General features: G+C 38.6%; 1 protein-coding gene across 1 annotated transcript, besides 2 other annotated features; it reads right to left on the bottom strand.

The window, feature by feature from the left end:
* On the bottom strand, nucleotides 10,455-16,711 carry RAB39B (RAB39B, member RAS oncogene family). The gene is made up of 2 exons (NM_171998.4): nucleotides 16,294-16,711; nucleotides 10,455-13,449 (listed from the first exon to the last, which is right to left on the bottom strand). The coding sequence occupies exons 1-2, from the start codon at nucleotides 16,506-16,508 to the stop codon at nucleotides 13,023-13,025; spliced, it is 642 nt and encodes a 213-aa protein (NP_741995.1). The 5' UTR covers nucleotides 16,509-16,711; the 3' UTR covers nucleotides 10,455-13,022.
* Nucleotides 16,489-16,698: a silencer, noted in NCBI's record as "silent region_21124". NCBI's record gives its function as "represses an Ori minimal core promoter by ATAC-STARR-seq in GM12878 lymphoblastoid cells {active_cell/tissue: GM12878}" and the evidence as "EXISTENCE:reporter gene assay evidence [ECO:0000049][PMID:35858748]".
* Nucleotides 16,709-16,758: a silencer, noted in NCBI's record as "silent region_21125". NCBI's record gives its function as "represses an Ori minimal core promoter by ATAC-STARR-seq in GM12878 lymphoblastoid cells {active_cell/tissue: GM12878}" and the evidence as "EXISTENCE:reporter gene assay evidence [ECO:0000049][PMID:35858748]".

Genomic DNA, 19,055 nt, shown 5'->3' on the forward strand with positions numbered 1-19,055 from the left:
AGGGCAAGGACGTTGACATCTTTGGAGGACACAATTCAACTTACAACAGCTGCTGTGCAATTTTGCAGAATTTTAAAGTTTTAGGAGCGCATGCATTGCATTATAGTACACAGCAGAACACTCTGTACTTTACTTCTCGTTTCCATTGATGAAGTGTCCCTGCAATCTTAAAGAGAAGAAAGGTTCTCCCCTGCAACTTGTCTCTCTCCTGAATCCTCAGTCTTTCTCCACTGAATCTTTCTTATCTTAAAAAACAAAAACAAAAACAAACAAACAAACAAACAAAACTCTCTTGGCCTGACATCCCCTCAAGCTGCCATCCTTACTTGTCTTCACAGAAAATTGCTTGGAAGTATTCTGTACTCACTTTTCTTTTTTTCCCTCCTGTTCTCTTCTAACCAGGTTTTTCTATGCTATACTCCACAGAAACTGCTCTTGTCAGGGTCTCCAGACATGCACATTGCGAGATCCAATGGCCAGTCTTCATCTTCATCTTATTAGACCTATCAGCAGCATTTGACACAGTTGATTGCTCTCTCCTTTTAACTCTGCCTCCTTGGTTTCTAGTATATTTGCCTGGTTTTCCTCCCACCTCCCTGCCTGCTCCTTCTCAGTTTCATGTAGGAGTTCTATCTTCTATGACCTCTAAATTCTAGTGTTCCCTGAGGCTTACTCCTCAGACCTCTTTTCTGTGTATTTGAGGAACTCATCCAATCTCATGTCAGTGATTGTCCTCCCTGCACGGATAATGCCCAGATTTTTATCTCCAGCTTGGACCTCTAAACCTCAGAATTTTACACTCTCATATCCTACTGCCTACTTGACATCTCCATATGTGAAACTTAATAGGCATCTCAAACTGAATGTGTTGAAAACTAAACTGATTCTTCCTCCTTCCTCTCCTCACCTCAAATCCCACCCATGCTCTTATACGTCATATTCAGTTCATCAGCAATTCCTGACTAAATTCATGGTTTATCCAAAATTTGACCACCTCTCATCACCTCTTCAGCTACCATCTTGGTCCAAGTCACCAACATCTCTCATGTGGGTCACTGCAACAGCCTCCTGATTTGTCTCCCTGGTTCCACAGTCGCTCTCCTTCAGACCATTCTCTACAAGAAGCCAGAGGAATTCTGGTACAATGTAAGTCAGATCAAGTGTCTCTTGTGCTTAAAACTTTTCAGTGACTTCTATCTGATTCAGAGCAAAGCCAGAGTCCTTACAATGATGTACAAGCCCTACCTGATCTGGGTCCCACACCCCCTCTCTAAATTAATCTATGTGAGTCAGCCCCTGCCCCCCCCCACCCCGCTCTCTCTCTCTCTCTCTCTCTCTCTCTCTCTCTCTTTCTTCATTTACCCCCCTTTCATTCTTCCCTGGCTCATTCTGCTCTAGCACACCAGTTCCTTTGCTGTTCTCGAAACATACTCGTTTTGCTCCTGCCACAGGACTTTTCTACTTGTTACTCTCTTTTCCTGGAATGTATAGATATCTACATGGTTTACTCCTTAACACTTTCAGATCTTCACTCAGATATAACTTCAAATATAAGCTTCATTACTACCCCCCTCCCTCACACAAATGCATATCATTATCCTTCTTCCTTGCTTTGTTTTCCCTTTAGTGCTTAACTCTAGGGTAATTTTATGCCATGGTTTGCCAGGGACAGTCTGTTTTTTTTTCTGTTGCTCACAGCTATTAATTATTTTTAGCTCCTCTTTCTACTTTCAGTAGAAGCCCAGCTTGGATGATAAACTATGTGGTTAGTCTCCTCATCACTATTTTACATGCTATATATTTATATTACTCGTTGTCTGTGTCCCTACTCTAGAACTTAAGTTGTATAAGGGCAAAAATTTTTGTTCTAATCTTCACCTATCCCTAGTACCTACAACAGTGCTTTGCATACAGTGAGGATTCATATATTGCATGCATGAACAAAACATTGTTTAAAAATCTGTTCTTTTGCCAGGTGTGGTGGCTCACGCCTGTAATCCCAGCACTTTGGGAGGCTGAGGCGGGCGGATCACGAGGTCGGAAGTTCGAGACCAGCCTGGCCAACATGGTGAAACTCTGTCTCTACTAAAAATACAAAATTAGCTGGGCGTGGTGGTGCGTGCCTGTAATCCCAGCTACTCAGGAGGCTGAGGCAGGAGAACTGCTTGAACTGGGACCTGGGAGGCAGAGGTTGCAGTGAGCTGAGATCACACCATTGCACTCCAGCCTGGGCAACAAGAGTGAAACTCTGTCTCAAAAAAAAAAAAAAAAAAAAAAAATCTGTTCTTTTTTTTTTTTTTTTTTTTCCTTTGGAGACACAGTCTTCCTCTGTCACCTAGGCTGGAGTGCAGTGGTGCAGTTTTGGCTCACTGCAACCTCCATCTCCCGGGCTTAAGTGATCCTCCTGCCTCAGCCTCCCAAGTAGCTGGGACCATAGGCACGTGCCACCACGCCCAGGTAATTTTTGTATATTTTGTAGAGATAGGGGTTTCATCATGTTGCTCAGGCTGGTCTTGAACTCCTGAGCTCAGGCAATCTGTCCACCTCAGCCTCGTAAAGTGCTAGGATTATAGGTGTGAACCACCACGCCTGGCAAAATCTGTTGTTTTATGATAAAATATGTTCAAATGTTTAAAAATAAGTCTGGCCCCTTTAAGAAGAGTTTATGAGGACAGATGTCGTCAAAATTGCTATTGGTGTAAAAAAAACATATTTGTGAAATTGCTGTTGGAAACTAGTGGAGATTTAAAGTGCAGAAGTTCCAAGGAAAAGGTGAGACTTCTTAAAAATCAAAATTAATTATTTCCATTGTGGTTTGTCAGTGCCTCTTTGAAATCAGATTTATTTTCAGGTTTCAGCTCTATTACCTCCCTAATTAAGAATAAGATTCTACCTTCAAGAAACTTGTATTTTTATAAGAAAATCAAATGTATAGTAGATGCGATTATAAAAAAAATGTGATATCTGCTTTAACAGAGAAATATGTATTTGTATTCCATATACAATCTCCACAAAGCAGAGACCTTTTGATATTACTTAAATCAGGTGGATAAATTTTCTAAGAAGGTGATGCTTGAATTAAATATTATAGTTTGAATAGCAATTTGTTTAAAAGGTTAGAAAGGGAAAAGCATTTGATGGCATAGGGAGTGCTATATATATATAAATATAGCTGTGAAAGAAAATTGCATTTTTAGTGAATAGCAAGAAGTATACCTGTCTCTTCTGTGGCCTGTGTACTGTGGTTGGGTTGTTTATCTTTGTATTATTGAGTTTTGAGAGTTCTTCAGATAATCTAGACATATAAATCTTTTATCAGATATTGCAGATTCTTTCTCCAGGTCAGTGGCCTGACTTTTCATTTTCTTAATTGTCATTTGAAAAGCAAAAAGTTTCCAATTTTGATGAAATCATATTATCAGTTTTAAAACCTGTTTTTAAGTTTTCATCCTATCTAAATTTGTAGAAGTTTAGTTTTAGCACTGCATGTTCTCACTCATAAGTAGGAGTTGAACAATGAGAACACATGGATACAGGGAGGGGAACAACACACACCAGGGCCTGTGGGGTGGGGGCAGGGGAGGGAGAGCATCAGGGCAAATAGCTAATGCATGCAGGGCTTAAAACCCAGGTGATAGGTGCAGCAAACCACCATGGCACAAGTATACCTGTGTAACAAACCTGCACATTCTGCACATATATTTTGGAACTTAAAAATAAAAAAAAAAGTTTTAGCCCTCATATTTAGGTGTGTGATCTACTTTTAGTTTATTTTTGTGTATGATGTGAAGTAAGGGTTCAGGTTCATTTATTTGCATATGTATGTCCAATTCTTTCAACACTATTTGTTAAAAATATTATCCTTTCCCCATTAAATTATTAAATCCTTGGCACGTTTGTAAAAATACATTGAGTAAAATTTGATTTGTGGATAGGATGGAGGAAGCACACTTCCTCTGTCTCCCCTGCTGAGTACAGCTATAAAACCTAGGCAGAATGCATGGAACAGCTATTTAAAGACACAGAAAATAAAATACCAGTAGGCTATCAGGAAAGAACAACTGAATTCGGAGTACCGATGAACCCACAGTGAATTTACCATTTTTTCCTCTAGTTTTCCTGCCGCATGGCCCCTGACACTGCACAGCAGAGCAGGATAGCTAAAGCCCAAGATTTCTGCCTAGAGCACCCAAAAGGGAATTTCCAGGGAAGTGGAAAGTGCTGGAGATGGAGGACAAGGAGAGGGAGTTGCTCTGAAAAGCAACCACATAGCTGCACGAGCTTGGATGTGTTCCTAATTAGTATATCAAAGACTAAGAAGTGAACAAAAGGATAGACCACTGCAGGTTGGAACGTGTGACTTGAATTTACTCAGGTTGATTGCCTGCTAAAGCAAAAAATCAAAATCCTCCATAGGATTTAAACAAGACCCAGAATCTCATAATATTCAAAATGTTCAGAGTACAATAAAAAATTAGTTGGCATATGAAGAACCAGGAAAATATTCATTCACACAAAAAAGGACAAAGTATGACTTTATGTAGATAACATTAAAAATCAATAAATTAGAATGCAGAGGAAGTAAAATTGATAAAACCAAGTGCTGTTTATTTGAAAATACCGATAAAAATAAGTAATAAGAAGAGAAAACACACAAGACTACAAATGAGAGAGAGGTTTCTATCCACCATTACAGAAATTTTTAAATTATGCTAAGTACAACTGTACACCAATGCATTTGGAAATCTACCTGAAATAGATAATTTTCAGGGAAAACACAAATTACCAAAATTTACTCATGAGGATGTATGCAGTGTTTTTGTTTTTGTTTTTGTTTGTAGAGACAGGGTCTCACTATGTTGCCCAGGCTGGTCTCGAACTCCCAGCCTCAAGCTATCCTCCTGCCTTGGCCTCCCAAAGTGCTGAGATTACAGGTTTGAGCCACCACGCCCAGCCAGATGTACGTGTTAATCTAGATTGGCTATGACTTGCTGTGGTAGTCATTCCCAGTCCTGGGGGCTACATGTCCATTATAGGTCAAGGATTGCTCTGCTCCATGTTTACTTTACTCCTGAATCCAAGCTAATAGAAAAGCCCCTAGCTGGGACATTGCCAGTCACATGGCCAAACCTACATCATGAGAGGGAAATATAATCCTGTTTCAGGGAAGGGCAATGAACATATATGAAAACGGTCAATATTATGAAAACGGTCAATATTATGGTTGAAAACTGAATCTAACCATTACCATGAAATAAATGGAAAGATTGTCAAAGATCTATACCCCTTTCCACGCACACAAAAAAAGGAATGCTGGACCAAAAAGCTCTTATGAGTGAATTCTATCAAACCTTCAATAAACAGACCACCCCCACGTTATTTAAAATATTCTAGTGTATAGAAGAAGACAGATTTCTAATAGTTTCATCATTCCTGAGGCCAGCATAACCATGATATCAAAACCTGACAGAAAGCACAAAAGATCACCATTTTCCAATGTGTTATTCACTGAAATGTCTGTTAAGATGCTTCAGAAAGTGAGTTATTTTGTCATATAAGTTGAGGAGATGCTGTATAAAATTACCTCCCAATGGAGAGTCCCAATATACCATAGTATTCAGTAGTCCTACAGAATACTATTTTGCTTTATTTAATCCACAATTTTCTGAATTTGTTTGACTGTAGGTGCCCCCCAACACACACCTAGATTCTTTGTAATCCCCATGGAATACATTTCTGGAAATGGTATTATGAACCAATCTGAAGCATGAATTTAAATGCAAAGATCCTAAATAAAATGTTAGTAAATTAAATTAAGCAGTATTTAAAAAATACACTATGAACAAGTAGAGTTTATTCCAAGAATGTAAGTAAATATGGTTTAACATAAACAGATTTACTAATATAATTAATTACATTCACAGGTTAAGGGAAGAAAACCATTTGATTTCCTCAACGGGTACCAGAAAGACATTTGAAAAAGTCAATATGCATTCTTTCTAAAAGCACTTAGTAAAATAATAATGCAGCGAAAAGTTCCATAGACTATTAAAGATAATTTAAGGTCAAAATGCTAGAAGCACGTAACAGCAGGAAAAAGACAAAGGTGCCCACCACCACTGCAGTTATTTACCATTTTACTCTAAGATCTAGCCAGTGTAAAAAGACAATAAAAAGAAATGAAGTATAAATATTAAAAGGAAGAGAGAACATTATCATTACCTGTAGATTATAATGTCTGCCTGGAAAGCAGAAGAGATCAACTGAAAAACTATTTGAGGTAATAAGAGAGTTTAGTAAGGTGTCTGGCTACAAGATATAAACCAATCCACAGATTTCCTACATGCTAGCAATGATCAATTAGAACATATAATGAGAAAACGAGTCATTCCAATGATAGCAGAAGTTATAAATTAGGAATAAACAGAAAATGGCTAAACTTAGAACTATAAGAAGTTACTGATGGACATAAACAAGGATTAAAATAATTGAATGACATATTCTTGGGCAAATATTGTAAAGATACTTGTTCCTGCCATATATCAGTGTCAGTAAATTAATGCAACTTCAATCAAAATCCCAATATTACCTTAGGGGAAACTTGACACATCTTCAGGTTCTAATATACTGCATGAGAATAACAAAGACAATTTTGAAGTGACAAAAGATAATAAAAACATATTACAGAGTTACTGTAACTAAAACAACGTAGGCAAGGATAGAAAACTAGATTAATGAACTAAAAAAGCTAAGTCCAAAACCAGACCCATGTATATATGACAGTTTAATATTTGAAAAGGGTAGAATTTCCAATTATTAAAGGAACAATGGAATATTCTCCAGATGGTGGAGGGACAAATAGCTAGTCATTTGGGAAAAATAGTTCTTATCCCTATCTCCACTTCCTATACCTAAGTCAATTCCTAAGGGAATCCCAAATCCATTATAAGAAATCATAGGAAAACCGTTTTCTAGTTTTTGAGTGGGGAAGGCCTATCTCAACCTAACATCATTGCCAAAAAACATTAAGACAACATACTGTACAAGAAAGATAACATAAGTTACATGGCACAAAAATCAAAAGATACAAAATGTTATCCAATGGAAATTAAGTCTTCCTCACAGCTTGTCTTCCAGGCATCAGTTCCCCAATTCTGAGACAAAGACTGTTTCCAGTTTATTGTAGACAACAGATTTAATCACCTATATATGACAGACTTCTGTATTAACCACCAGAAAGCTTAAGAAATCAGAAAAACCTAAAAAAAATTGCAACATATGTGATGAATAAAAAACTAATTTACATATATAAGGAGATCATACTAATAAATAGGACTACTTCAGCTGCAAGCCACAGAAAACCAGTAACCAAGATATGCACATTAAAAAATATTGATCTAATCAATTATATCAAAATTTTAAATGTATATTTTCTTTGATTCATAAATTCTATTTCTAGGATTTTGACTTGAGGACATAATTAGTCAAATATACAAAGATATATATGCATCATAGAATTGCTTTATAACAGCAAAATTTGCACATAACCTGAGGATTGATTATATAACTTGTATATCCATACAGTGGAATACTATTGTATCAAGAGACTTTCAGCTATAGGTGGAAAAAAACTGCACAAACTAAAATGGGATTTATTACTCCTGTAACAAGGAATCTTAATATAGGGTGACTCCAGGGTAATTAAATCTGTAGTTCAATGACATTATCAAGGACCCAGTTTTCTTCTATCTTTGCTCTGTCATCTTTAGTATGTCAACTAACTCTTGATCACATTTAGCAAATATGTACAGGTACTGATAAACTGTAAAGATATAATGATTAGCAAAAACAGACATAGTTTCTGTCCTTGTGTATTTACAGGGAATATACAACATGTGAAAAAGGTAATGGCATAGTATGTGTTACATGATACCCTTTATGAAAAAGATTCATTTCGGGGCAAACATATTATAGTATGTAACCTTTTCTGGTAAGATTGTTATGTGATGTTCACCAAATGCCAGAGCCTGTGCTAAGTACTTTATATGGATTATCTCATTTTATCCTCACAACTCTATGAATTAATACTATTATTATCCAATTTTATATATGTGTAAACTGGGACTCAGAGAGATTGAATCACACATAACCGGTAGTCAGAATTTGAACTCATGTCTGTTTTATTCCAAAATCCGTACTCTTAACCACTATGTTAAACAACCTTTTGAAAATGGAAATAAAAATATATAGAAAGAAATAGACCAAGCTTTTAACAGTCATTTTCTTCAGGAACTTATGGTTGAATGCTATTGACTACAAGAGCCAGGAAAAACGGGGAGGAAAACAAAATCCAGGGGTACATTGATAGACTGGCAGTGGGGACTGGTTGATTGCCTAAAACGTCCTGAAGACATTTAAAAGCAGGTCTCATAGGAGAGAGTGAGCAACCAGAACTTATAATCAGAACTCTAGAGGCTGTATAAAATTTGGTAATGCTTCAAGATAGGGACATGTGTGTATTTTACTGATGTGAAGTAAGAATCAAGGTCATTGGATTAAAGTAGAGCAAGAAAACAATCATTCATTCAAGTATGTATAGATGATTCAAGCACCTAACTTGCTACAAGTTAGAGAAATACTGGTGAACAAGATGAGTAAGATTTGTAGCCATGTTAAGAAATGTAGGGTTTATTTGGATTTTGTTCTAAATGTGACAATAAACCATCAGTGGGTTTTAATCAGAGGAATTACTTGATCTGACTTACGTTGTGAAAAGATCACTCTGGCTGTTAGGTTGAGAATGTATCATGGGAGTGGGAACAAGGACTAGGGAGGCTAGTTAGGAAGATAGCGAAGTAAGAGTTCATAGTGGCCTGGACAAACGTGGTATCAATGGAGATGGAGAAAAGTGGCAGACACACACACACACACACTCACACACACGTACATATATTTATTTATATATTTGTTTATTTATTTGAGACAGGGTCTTGCTCTGTCACCCAGGCTGGAGTGCAGCGGTGTGATTACAGCTCACTGAAGTGATCCTCCCACCTCACCCTCCCTTGTAGCTGGGACTACAGGCATGTGCTACCATGCTGGGCTATTTTTTTTTTAGGAGAGATGGGGTCTCATTGTGTTGCCCAGGGTCAGACACATATTTTGAAGTTAGAGTTGACAGTGCTAGATGATGGATTTGATATGAGAAATGAGGGGGAGTGAGGAATTAAGAATAACTCCCAATTTCTGTGAATGGTGGTGTCATTTATAGAGCTGAGGAAGACCGGGGTTGTTGGAGCACATTTTGATAGACGTTGAAGACATTGATTTTAGTATTGGATATGTTGAGTCTGAGAAATCTGTGGCTTTGTTTAGTAGGCAAGTTGGCTGTATTGATATAACGTTCAGAAAAGTGAGCTAGAGTTACTGATTTTGGAATCAGCAATGGAAAGATGGTAACTGAAGTCACGAGAGTGGGTAAGATTGTCTAGGGAGAGGAGAGGATAGAGAGAAGAAAGAGAGAAGAGAATTGGTCCTCTGACAGAACTGAGAACACCAAGTTCCTGAGAGGCTTAATATAGGCAGCAATCATTCCACCAACACTATGCCGGCAAAGGCCACTCATGACTTCCTGTTCTCTCAAATCTTGCGGATTCATTTTAGTTTTTATCTTTCTGAATCGACTGCTGCATTTTGATACTACTGTTCACACCATCCTATAAAACTGTACTCTCCAGGATTTCATTGTCTCCTTGTAAGTTTCCTTTCCCTTTTCTGTGTGCCCTACACTTTATTGTTACCCAGGGAAGACTAAAGAGTAAGACTCTAGGTTGAGCTGTCAGCAATGACTTTTGGAGCCACGTCTCTTAAATCTATAAGAGAATTAATATAAATGTGATAAAGCTGTACAGAACTTAGGCTACCTATCTACTTATGCCCAGACTCAGAATCCATTATCTTTCCTTTTTTTTTTAACCCTCCCCCCACCCTCATGTGTACTATCAATCCTGGGAAATGTGCTGAACTATTGTGTTCTTATGTTGGTGCCACACTGTAAGTGATCCTGGCATAAAAAGCATGCCGTAGTAGGATTTGAAAAAGCTGAGGCAACTTAGCCTGGAAAAAAGAAGACTTTCCAGGGAACATAATAGTTGTAATCAACTACTTGGCAACAGAATTAAGACTCTTGATTAAAAATCATCATGATGAAGATTTAGGCTTGACAGAACCAACTTTTCTCAAAGTGGCATATGCTCACCAGGAAGTATTGAGGTCCCAGGGACTTTTGATATGATGGTCAGATAACTTTCAAAAATTATATTCTCTTTCTGGCTTTAAGGTAATGGTGAATACGATTGTGTATGGTATATGTCACATCTTATTGATATCCTTGGTAGTAGTTGCTACGCTGTAGTAACAGATTCTGGAAATAGCTATAACACACACTTGGAATCTCACAGTCACATAATCAATCATTTTACTAAATACAAGCATATTTTCATTCACATACAGCTAAATAAAGCATTTTTCACATTTCATTACAGTGCACAACAAAGTGAGGAAAAGTATACAGTACATTTTATTCTGAAATATGAGACAATCTAATCCAACATGCAGTTGTGGTCTTTGTTACAAGTTAGTTTATCTTTTCTTTACCTATGTAGTAAAATAGCTTCTAAAGCTTTATCCTTAGTATTATATTAACACCTGATTCTTTTCACACTTATTTTCTAAAACCCACTTATTGCAGTGACAATGGTACTGAATTCTACTAAAATGATTTTTAAATTTTCTAGAACTTATTTAAGCAATTAAGCTCAGCCACCTCTGCTGGATTTATGCTGAATATTTTTAAACCTGCCAGAAAATGCCAGGAGTGGGAATACTGTACATATAATAAATTTTAGTGAAGAAAATTGTAGGGAAGTTTTGTTTCTTTCCTTTTTTGAACTGACAGAATCCAGTCGACTCTCATTTACCCACTGGATAATCTTGCTTTCAGAATCTTCTAAACATAATTCAGTATAGCAGTTGATGAAATTTTGTGTTAATGAAATTTGCCATGTTTTGTTTGTCTTTTACAACCACGAAGGTGGCAATTTAATTACCCCACCTAAGCCAGCTCTTGTGAAATGAATATAGAGAAGATGATCAGTTCACTTGTAGTTAATGCTGTGAACTGATCCAAAGTGGTTTGCTCATCCAACTTGGGGCACAGGTGGCAGAATAGTCTTCCATAATTTTCATGATTTGGTTTCTTTATTCTGGCTAAAGCAAATTCCCAAAGTTTCAGATTCGGTCACATTCATACTGAAGTTCAATATTATATCTCAAAGCGATTTGCCATTCTTAGGCCTTCCTATCACAATGGATATGAGAAACCTGACTCTAGTCAGAATAGTTTTTTTTTTTAATTGTGAAAAGTATGGCTTTTGCCTAGCTGAACTGGCTACAATCCAAAAAGTAATTTAAAGCATCACCTCTCTTCAAGAAAATAATGGAAACTTCAAGCCAGCCATTCCAATTTGCTGATGCAGTTAGCTGTTTGTTCACCTGAGAATTAAGGGCTGACTCTCTTGGGTAGACAGGAACTCAGTGTACGTATATGGCAGACAGGTGGCCAAGGTCATTTTGGGGTGGGTATTTTATCCCTATCCCACTCCGCATTGCTGTACGTGGTTCCTTTCAATAAAAATCCACTGTGTCTCAGTGATAAGAACACTTATAGCCCACACAGTTCTAATGTCTTTTTAGTTGTGCAATTATTCACTTGTTTAAAGCCCTCTTGTCAATAATGCCTGAATGGGCTTTACCTTTGATTCCTTCCCATGTTCCCTCAGGATTATAGCTGAGTTGTAATCAATAAGGAAAACATATCCTAACATGTAGAGAACATTTATTTATAGTCATATCTCTTCCCAAGTAAACAAATTCATAATCATTTATTCATCTGACAGCAGTATGATGCAGTGAAAAGAGCTAGGAGTCACGAGTCCTTGACCCTGGCCAAGTGATTTTCATGGCTCTTAGTTTACTATTCTGTAAAATGGGGCAAAAACCTCGTAGGCCTGTTATGATGATCAAATAAGTAGCCCAAGTAACTGTAAGCTGTTTGTAAGGGTTACAGTGCCTCCTGTTCAGCAGGAGAGAGTGTTTGCCTCAGGGCTCTTTTCAGAGGCAGTCACTGTGTTGTCACTGTCACGTGCCTGAAGAAGCAAGCAGACTGTTTACTTCCAGATTGCAGGTGCCAAGGCATTGAAACCCCAGGCATGGTCAAAGGAAAAAGGGGGTATGGCATTTGGGTTATAGTGTCTCTTTCCTAGTTATAGGGTAATTTGCATGGGACAATTTGTTTCATACAGCTGGTAATTCTATCACAAGGGTGTTCATTTTCTGAAATGTGCTAATAACTGTGTCGATTGCCTTCCTTTCCATAGTCACATCATTTTTACTTGAACACCAGACCTTTTGGTCTGTGTTCCTCATTTTACAGAAAGCTGTTAAAAGCTAATTGGTACCTTTTAACCAAACCCAGCAAACACCTTTGGTGCAGGGTATTCTCACGGAATAAGTAGAGCTCATAATCTTTGTTTAGTTATGCTAATTGTCCCCATTGTGAAACTTTTTTCCCCTTTATGTATTTCTTTATGTTCATGGCCTATAAGTGAGCTCAAATACCAAGGAACAGTTGTCCTGTCTGTAGGTATGTTTTCCTGGGACTTAGCTTCCTAAACCCCAGGCCTTTAACATGTGGTCCACAAAGGGCTCATGGAGCAGCCACTGCCTAGCATGGGCCACAAAACAGTGCCTGGCCTGGCCCATGTCAGCAATTCAGTCCCTTGGTCACAGCACTCAGGCACCCCCATCCACCCGCACACGAGTCTGTCAGAGTCCCCCTGAGAGGGAGGCTCACTTGGTATCCAAATGGAGGTTGAGTTCTCATCAGTTACACAAAGATTCTATTTATTTCTCTTACTTTTCAGTTCAAGTAGGAGAGCATGTTTTGGAAATAAAAGAACTGACTAGCACAAACATCTCCTCTCTGATTTGACAACCTCTTCTGAAGAGTGAACCACATTTGGTACAAATCCACTCTTCACCCCTTCCCAGCCCTCCTGGATTGTAATCTCCCCCCTTTTAACCAGCTCATATATGTCTCTTGTCAGGTCTGTGAAGGCTTTCTCCACATTAATGGCATCTCGGGCTGACGTTTCAATGTACTTCATGCCGTATGCAGCAGCCAGTTTCTCGGCCTCGTGGCGAGTCACTTGCCTCTGTGTATCCAGGTCACACTTGTGACCCACCAGAACAAATACAATTTGGTAGGGCTGAACGTGTACTTTGGTCTCTTCTAACCACTCATGGACATTCTGGAAGGACCTGCGGTTGGTAATGTCAAATAAGAGAAGACCACCTACTGAGTTCCTGTAGTAGGCGCGAGTGATGGATCTAAAACACAAGAAAGAAGTAAAGAGTAAAGGCTGTGCCCAAACTTCTGCATGTCAATGAACTCAGTATATTCAAGTGTTCCTGGTTAGTGACACAGTCCTTTAATAAAAATGATTTTCTTTTTTTTTAAAAAAACAAAGGAATACAAATGGCATTCCATACTACTACTAATATGTGAGTTTCCAATTGGGCCAAACTTTGAGATGGGCATCTTCTAGAAACGAATGTTCATGAACTTTTAGGCATTTTCCATGGATTCAGCACTGGAGAGTGACCCTGGGACATAACTGAGTTCTATTTCTTGCCTTCAGGTAAAACTACAACTAACTCTCCCACCCCCCAAATCTGAATAACTGACAGAGACTTCCTTTTCTGCAAAATAGGATACCCAAGTCACAGTGTTACCATGAGGCAAAATGAAACAATGGATATTAAAGTGTTCTGTGACGTGGAGAGTTCATTACAAATGCTAGCAGTTGAAACAGGATTTTTAAAACATAGAAATGAATTTATGATAGTTAACAAAATATTTAAAGTAGGTATCTTGCTACTCCATTTTTTCCATTTATCATTACCATGTTTTTTTCTCTTTCCATTATTATTATTGTTTATTATTATTATTATTATTATTATTAGCTAACAGGGATCCTCAATCTCTTCTGTGAGGAGAAACACAATTTTATTTTTTATTTTCAAGGCCTGTGGGAATGGGAAAAAGAGAGATGGCGAAGGGTTCAGGCAAAGTGCCTCTCAGCCCTGTTTCCTGACACATTTCAGAGAGGCCAACTCAACTCAGGAGCCATCAGAAGAAACTTCACATGTTTTAACTTCTTGACTTGAGGAACCTCATTATAAATATACATTATGGCACTTTGCTTACAGTGTATTAAAGCTTATTACAGGGTATGGACCTATTTGTCTCTGCAGTCACTTGCTTTAGACTACTGTGATTTTTTTTACCTATGTCTATTTTTAGGTTTTCTGTCTCCTCAGATAAAGAAGATAGACAACGAAGGACTCAATAGCTTAGAGAAAATGGCTCAATGTTAGCAGAACAAGCATTGTCCAGGGACCTACAGTCCAAGCTAGATGATGGTAAAAGTAAAACTTACAAATGACTTTAAGTCTCCAAAATCAGGCAAATCAGCCCTGGGGACTGAAAGCATTTCTCGTCTCTTAGGTTTGAAGATTCATGGAGAATGGTAGATTTACCAGAAAATTTAGACATGAACAAACAAAGGTTTTGATTTGTGAGAAGGTTGATTCAAGAAATCAACAAGCAAGCTGTAGATCACTGTCAAAACTCTGGAATATATTATTACATTAATTGTTTGTGAGTACTTAGCAAAGAAAGTGACAAAGGCCTTCTAAGCATGGACATAAGGCTACATAAACCTTAAATTCTTCCCTACATTAAAAAATCTTAAATAATGTGAAAAGACAGATGATAAACTAGGAATATATCTTACAACATACATGACAGGAAAGGGTTAATATTCTTAATCTATAAAGTACTCTTACAAGTCCATATTGCCCAATAAATAAATAAGCAGTGGATATGAACAGGCTGTTCATATAGAAAGAAATTCCAACAAACACATAAAAGATACCTTTCTTTGCTTAGGAGAAATGCAATCGCAAGTTCAAAGTGAACCTGTACAAGGATATTTTCCACAGTGGTGTTTGTGGAAGTGGGGAGCTGGAGGTAACTTAAGTTTGTAATTATTTCTTCTCCTTACCCCTCTTCAATTACCCAACCAGTATCTTCTATGCTTAGTTAGTTTTCAATAGATAAATGAGTAAATGATCATAAACTTGGGCTATTGAGTTTTCTTGATCTGGTTCCTGCTGCTCTACTTTAGTTCAAATTGTTCTCTGCAAAGTTTTCTGTGTACACTCTGCTCCCTCTCACTTCTGTCTTTATTCATGCTGTTTCCTATCCCTGGGCGTTTCCTGTCTTTGCTTAGGCAGTCATACTCATCCGGTCTCATCTTCTCCAGTTAACCTTTCCTCCTCTGTGTTCATACATATAATTACAAATAATACATGCTACAATAGAAAAGCAAAGGGTTCTGAGTGAAAGTAAACATATTCATTGATTATTCAATGAATTCATTGATTGAAATTAAGCATGTTCATTTTGTGCCAAGTGTTACAGTAGGGAGTGGGCATACAAATATGAGCAAGACACACTTTCGTAATTGCTGATTATCTATTTCCCTCAACTATGTTAGCACAGAAGTTCCAAGAATGAAGGGGCTTTGTCTGTTTAGATTACATGGCATCCCCTTGTGTGAGTCTCCTCACACTGTTTTCCCAGGAACAAGCCCAGAGTCTGGCACATAGTAGATGATCACTGAATGTGTGCTGGTTGCAAGAAGGAATCAATCGTATCTATTTCATGTTAGAACATATGTTAGCATATATATGTGCACACACACAGATGTGGAAATAAAACATAATACACATGTATTTATGTATTTAAATCTCTGTCAGTTATGTTAGGATGACCTGGGAACGTTTTTGAAAGTATGTAACATAGGGACTGAGATTGATGAATTACAGATACAGAGATCAATTCCAGCTAGTTTGTTAGCCACCAAAGGGCAGGTTGGTGGAGTTGTGGTGCAAGCAATATGTGTTATTGACCGGCCTTCCCTGCCAGGGCGCTTCTTTCCTTGCACTAAACTCCGGGTTAGCCGAAGGTGGGCTTCGGCAGAATCCTCAAGACCCTTGGTGTTGCCCTCCTGGACCGCACCTAGAACCAGGAAGTCCTCTCTCCCCAGAGGCGGTGCAAACCCCGAAGACCCTCCCACTGCTTGCGGGCCCGGACTGCGCTCCCACCTGAACCTCTCTTGACCCGCGGTATCCCAGATCTGGAGCTTGATGCGTTTTCCTGGCTCGATCTCCACCAAGCGGGAGAAAAAATCCACCCCCACGGTGGGGTCAGAAACCTGGGCAAAGCGACCCTCGGTGAAGCGGCGGATCAGGCAGGACTTGCCCACTGTGGAATCCCCGATGACAATGAGCCGGAACTGGTACAGCCAGATGGCCTCCATGGCCGCGGCTCTGCAGGTCTCCTTGGCCCGGACCGGGGACGGCGGGAGGGGGCGCCCCGCCGACGCCTCAGAGAGCGCGGCTCGGCAGGATCTAGCTCAGCCGCGAGCGCATCGCTGGCCTGGGAGCCCGAAGCTGGGTAGGCCCAGGCGCCGGGAGAGCGGAGGGATGGATGCTGCGCTCGCAAAGGTGATGAAATGGCAGCAGCATCAGCACCACGCACTCTGACTCATCACTGACAACCGGGTTACTGTAATCCCCCGCGTAGACGCGACGCCTGGGCCGCCGCACTATCTGTAAGAGGAGCGCACACAAAATGGCTGCAACATTAGCGCGATCCCTCCCTTTCTAACTACCCCACCCACCCTCTGTTCATTAAAACTGTTCTCTGTCGTTCAAACTGCCAATGTCATACCTTTTCATTGAAACTAGCAAAGCAATACAAAACTGCACAAAAAAGGGAAGGCACATAATTATATATTAGTCTACAAGTGTTTCCATGCTCACATAAACACACAAATATTATATGTGTTTGTATTCCTATATGCATTTATTGCTGTTTGTTTTTACAAAAATTAAACTGGGGCCTTACTTTCAATTAATAATTGCTTTTTGCAATTAATAAAGCAACATAAATATCTTTCCATTTCCACCTAATTTCCCTTTTGTCATAACTTATTTTAAAGTGTAGCCACAAGTATTTTATTTCTGTGAGCTACAGTCTTAAAAAAGGGGCCATGAATTCAAAGAGTATAAGTATTTTAAATTTAACGGACATGGGCATTCTACTTTCCAAAACTATTTAACAGTTTAAATTCTACCCAGCAATGTGTGAAAAGACCATCGCTCTGCATTATTTCAAGCATCATATGTATGTTTTATTCTTTCTTAATTCTTCTCAATAGAATTTAGTTAAATAAAAATATGTCTCATTGCTTTATTTTTACATTTCTCTGACTACTGATGAGGTCAATACCAAGTCTTGTGTATTGACCATTTCATTTCCTCTTCTGGGAATTGTCTCTTCATATCCTTTGTATTTTTTATGTGTAATTTTATTTTATTTTTTTTTTGAGACAGAGTCTCTCTCTGTCGCCCAGGCTGGAGTGCAGTGGCGCGATCTCGGCCCACTGCAACCTCTACCTCCCGGGTTCATGCCATTCTCCTGCCTCAGCCTCCCGAGTAGGTGGGACTACAGGTGCCCGCCACCACGCCCGGCTAATTTTTTGTATTTTTAGTAGAGATAAGGTTACACTGTATTAGCCAGGATGGTCTCGATCTCCTGACCTTGTGATCTGCCCGCCTCGGCCTCCCAAAGTGCTGGGATTACAGGCGTGAGCCACCGCGCCCGGCCTTCTATGTGTAATCTTTTATCGTTGCCTTACTCTTTAAAAAAAATCAGCTTCATTAACATGAAAATTCACATACTGTACAATTCACCCATTTAAAGTGAACAATTCTTAGCATAGGTTTTTAATATACTCACAGATATATACAACTATCACCACAGTTAATTTTATAACATTTTTATCACTTCAAAAAGTAACCCAGAGGGGTGGGGGGAGGGGGGAGGGATAGCATTAGGAGGGATTACATTTACCTAATGTAAATGTAAATGACGAGTTAATGGGTGCAGCACACCAACATGGCACACGTATACATATGTAACAAACCTGCACGTTCTGCACAGGTACCCTAGAACTAAAAGTATAATAAAATATGTATATATATTTTTTAAAAAAAGGAACCCAGAACCTTTTAGCTATCATCTCTCTATCCCATGTTCCTCCAGCCTTTGGCAACCATTAATGTACTTTCTGTCTCTATAAATTTCCCTATTCTGAACATTTCATATACATGAAATCATATAATATGTGCATTTTTGTGACTGGCTGCTTTCACTTAGCATAATGTTTTCAAGGTTCATTCACACTGTAGCAAGTATCAGTACTTCATTCCTTTTTGTGGCTGAATACTATTCCATCATATGGATAGACCATATCTTGTTTATCCATTCATTCATTGAGGGACATTTGGGTTGTTCCCACCTTTTGGCTATTCTAAATAATCCTACCATCGAATATTCATGTGCCAGGTTTTTTTTTTTAATATCTGTTTTCAGTTTTTTGGGATTTATACCTAAGAACGGAATTCCTCAGTCCTGTGGCAACTCTATGTTTAACCCTTTGATGAAATGCCTGACTTTTTCACAGTGGCTGTACCATATTACATCCCACTGGCAGCCTATGGGGTTCCAATTTCTCCACATTCTCTCTAACATGGATGTGAAGTGGTACTTTATTCTAGTTTGATTTGCATTTCCCTAACGACTGATGACTTCAAGCATATTTTTACATTCTTATTGGCCATTTGTGTATCTTCCTTGGAAAAATATTGACTTAGATCTTTTGCCCATTTTTAAACTGGATTACTAGTCTTTGTATTATTGAGTTATAAGAGTTCTTTATATATGCTAGACACAAGTCCTTTATCACATATATGATTTGCAAATATTTTCTCCAATTCAGTGTGTTCTTTTTTTTCACTTT

The sequence above is a fragment of the Homo sapiens genome, chromosome X, assembly GCF_000001405.40.
Source record: "Homo sapiens chromosome X, GRCh38.p14 Primary Assembly".
Classification (NCBI taxonomy): Eukaryota; Metazoa; Chordata; class Mammalia; order Primates; family Hominidae; genus Homo; species Homo sapiens.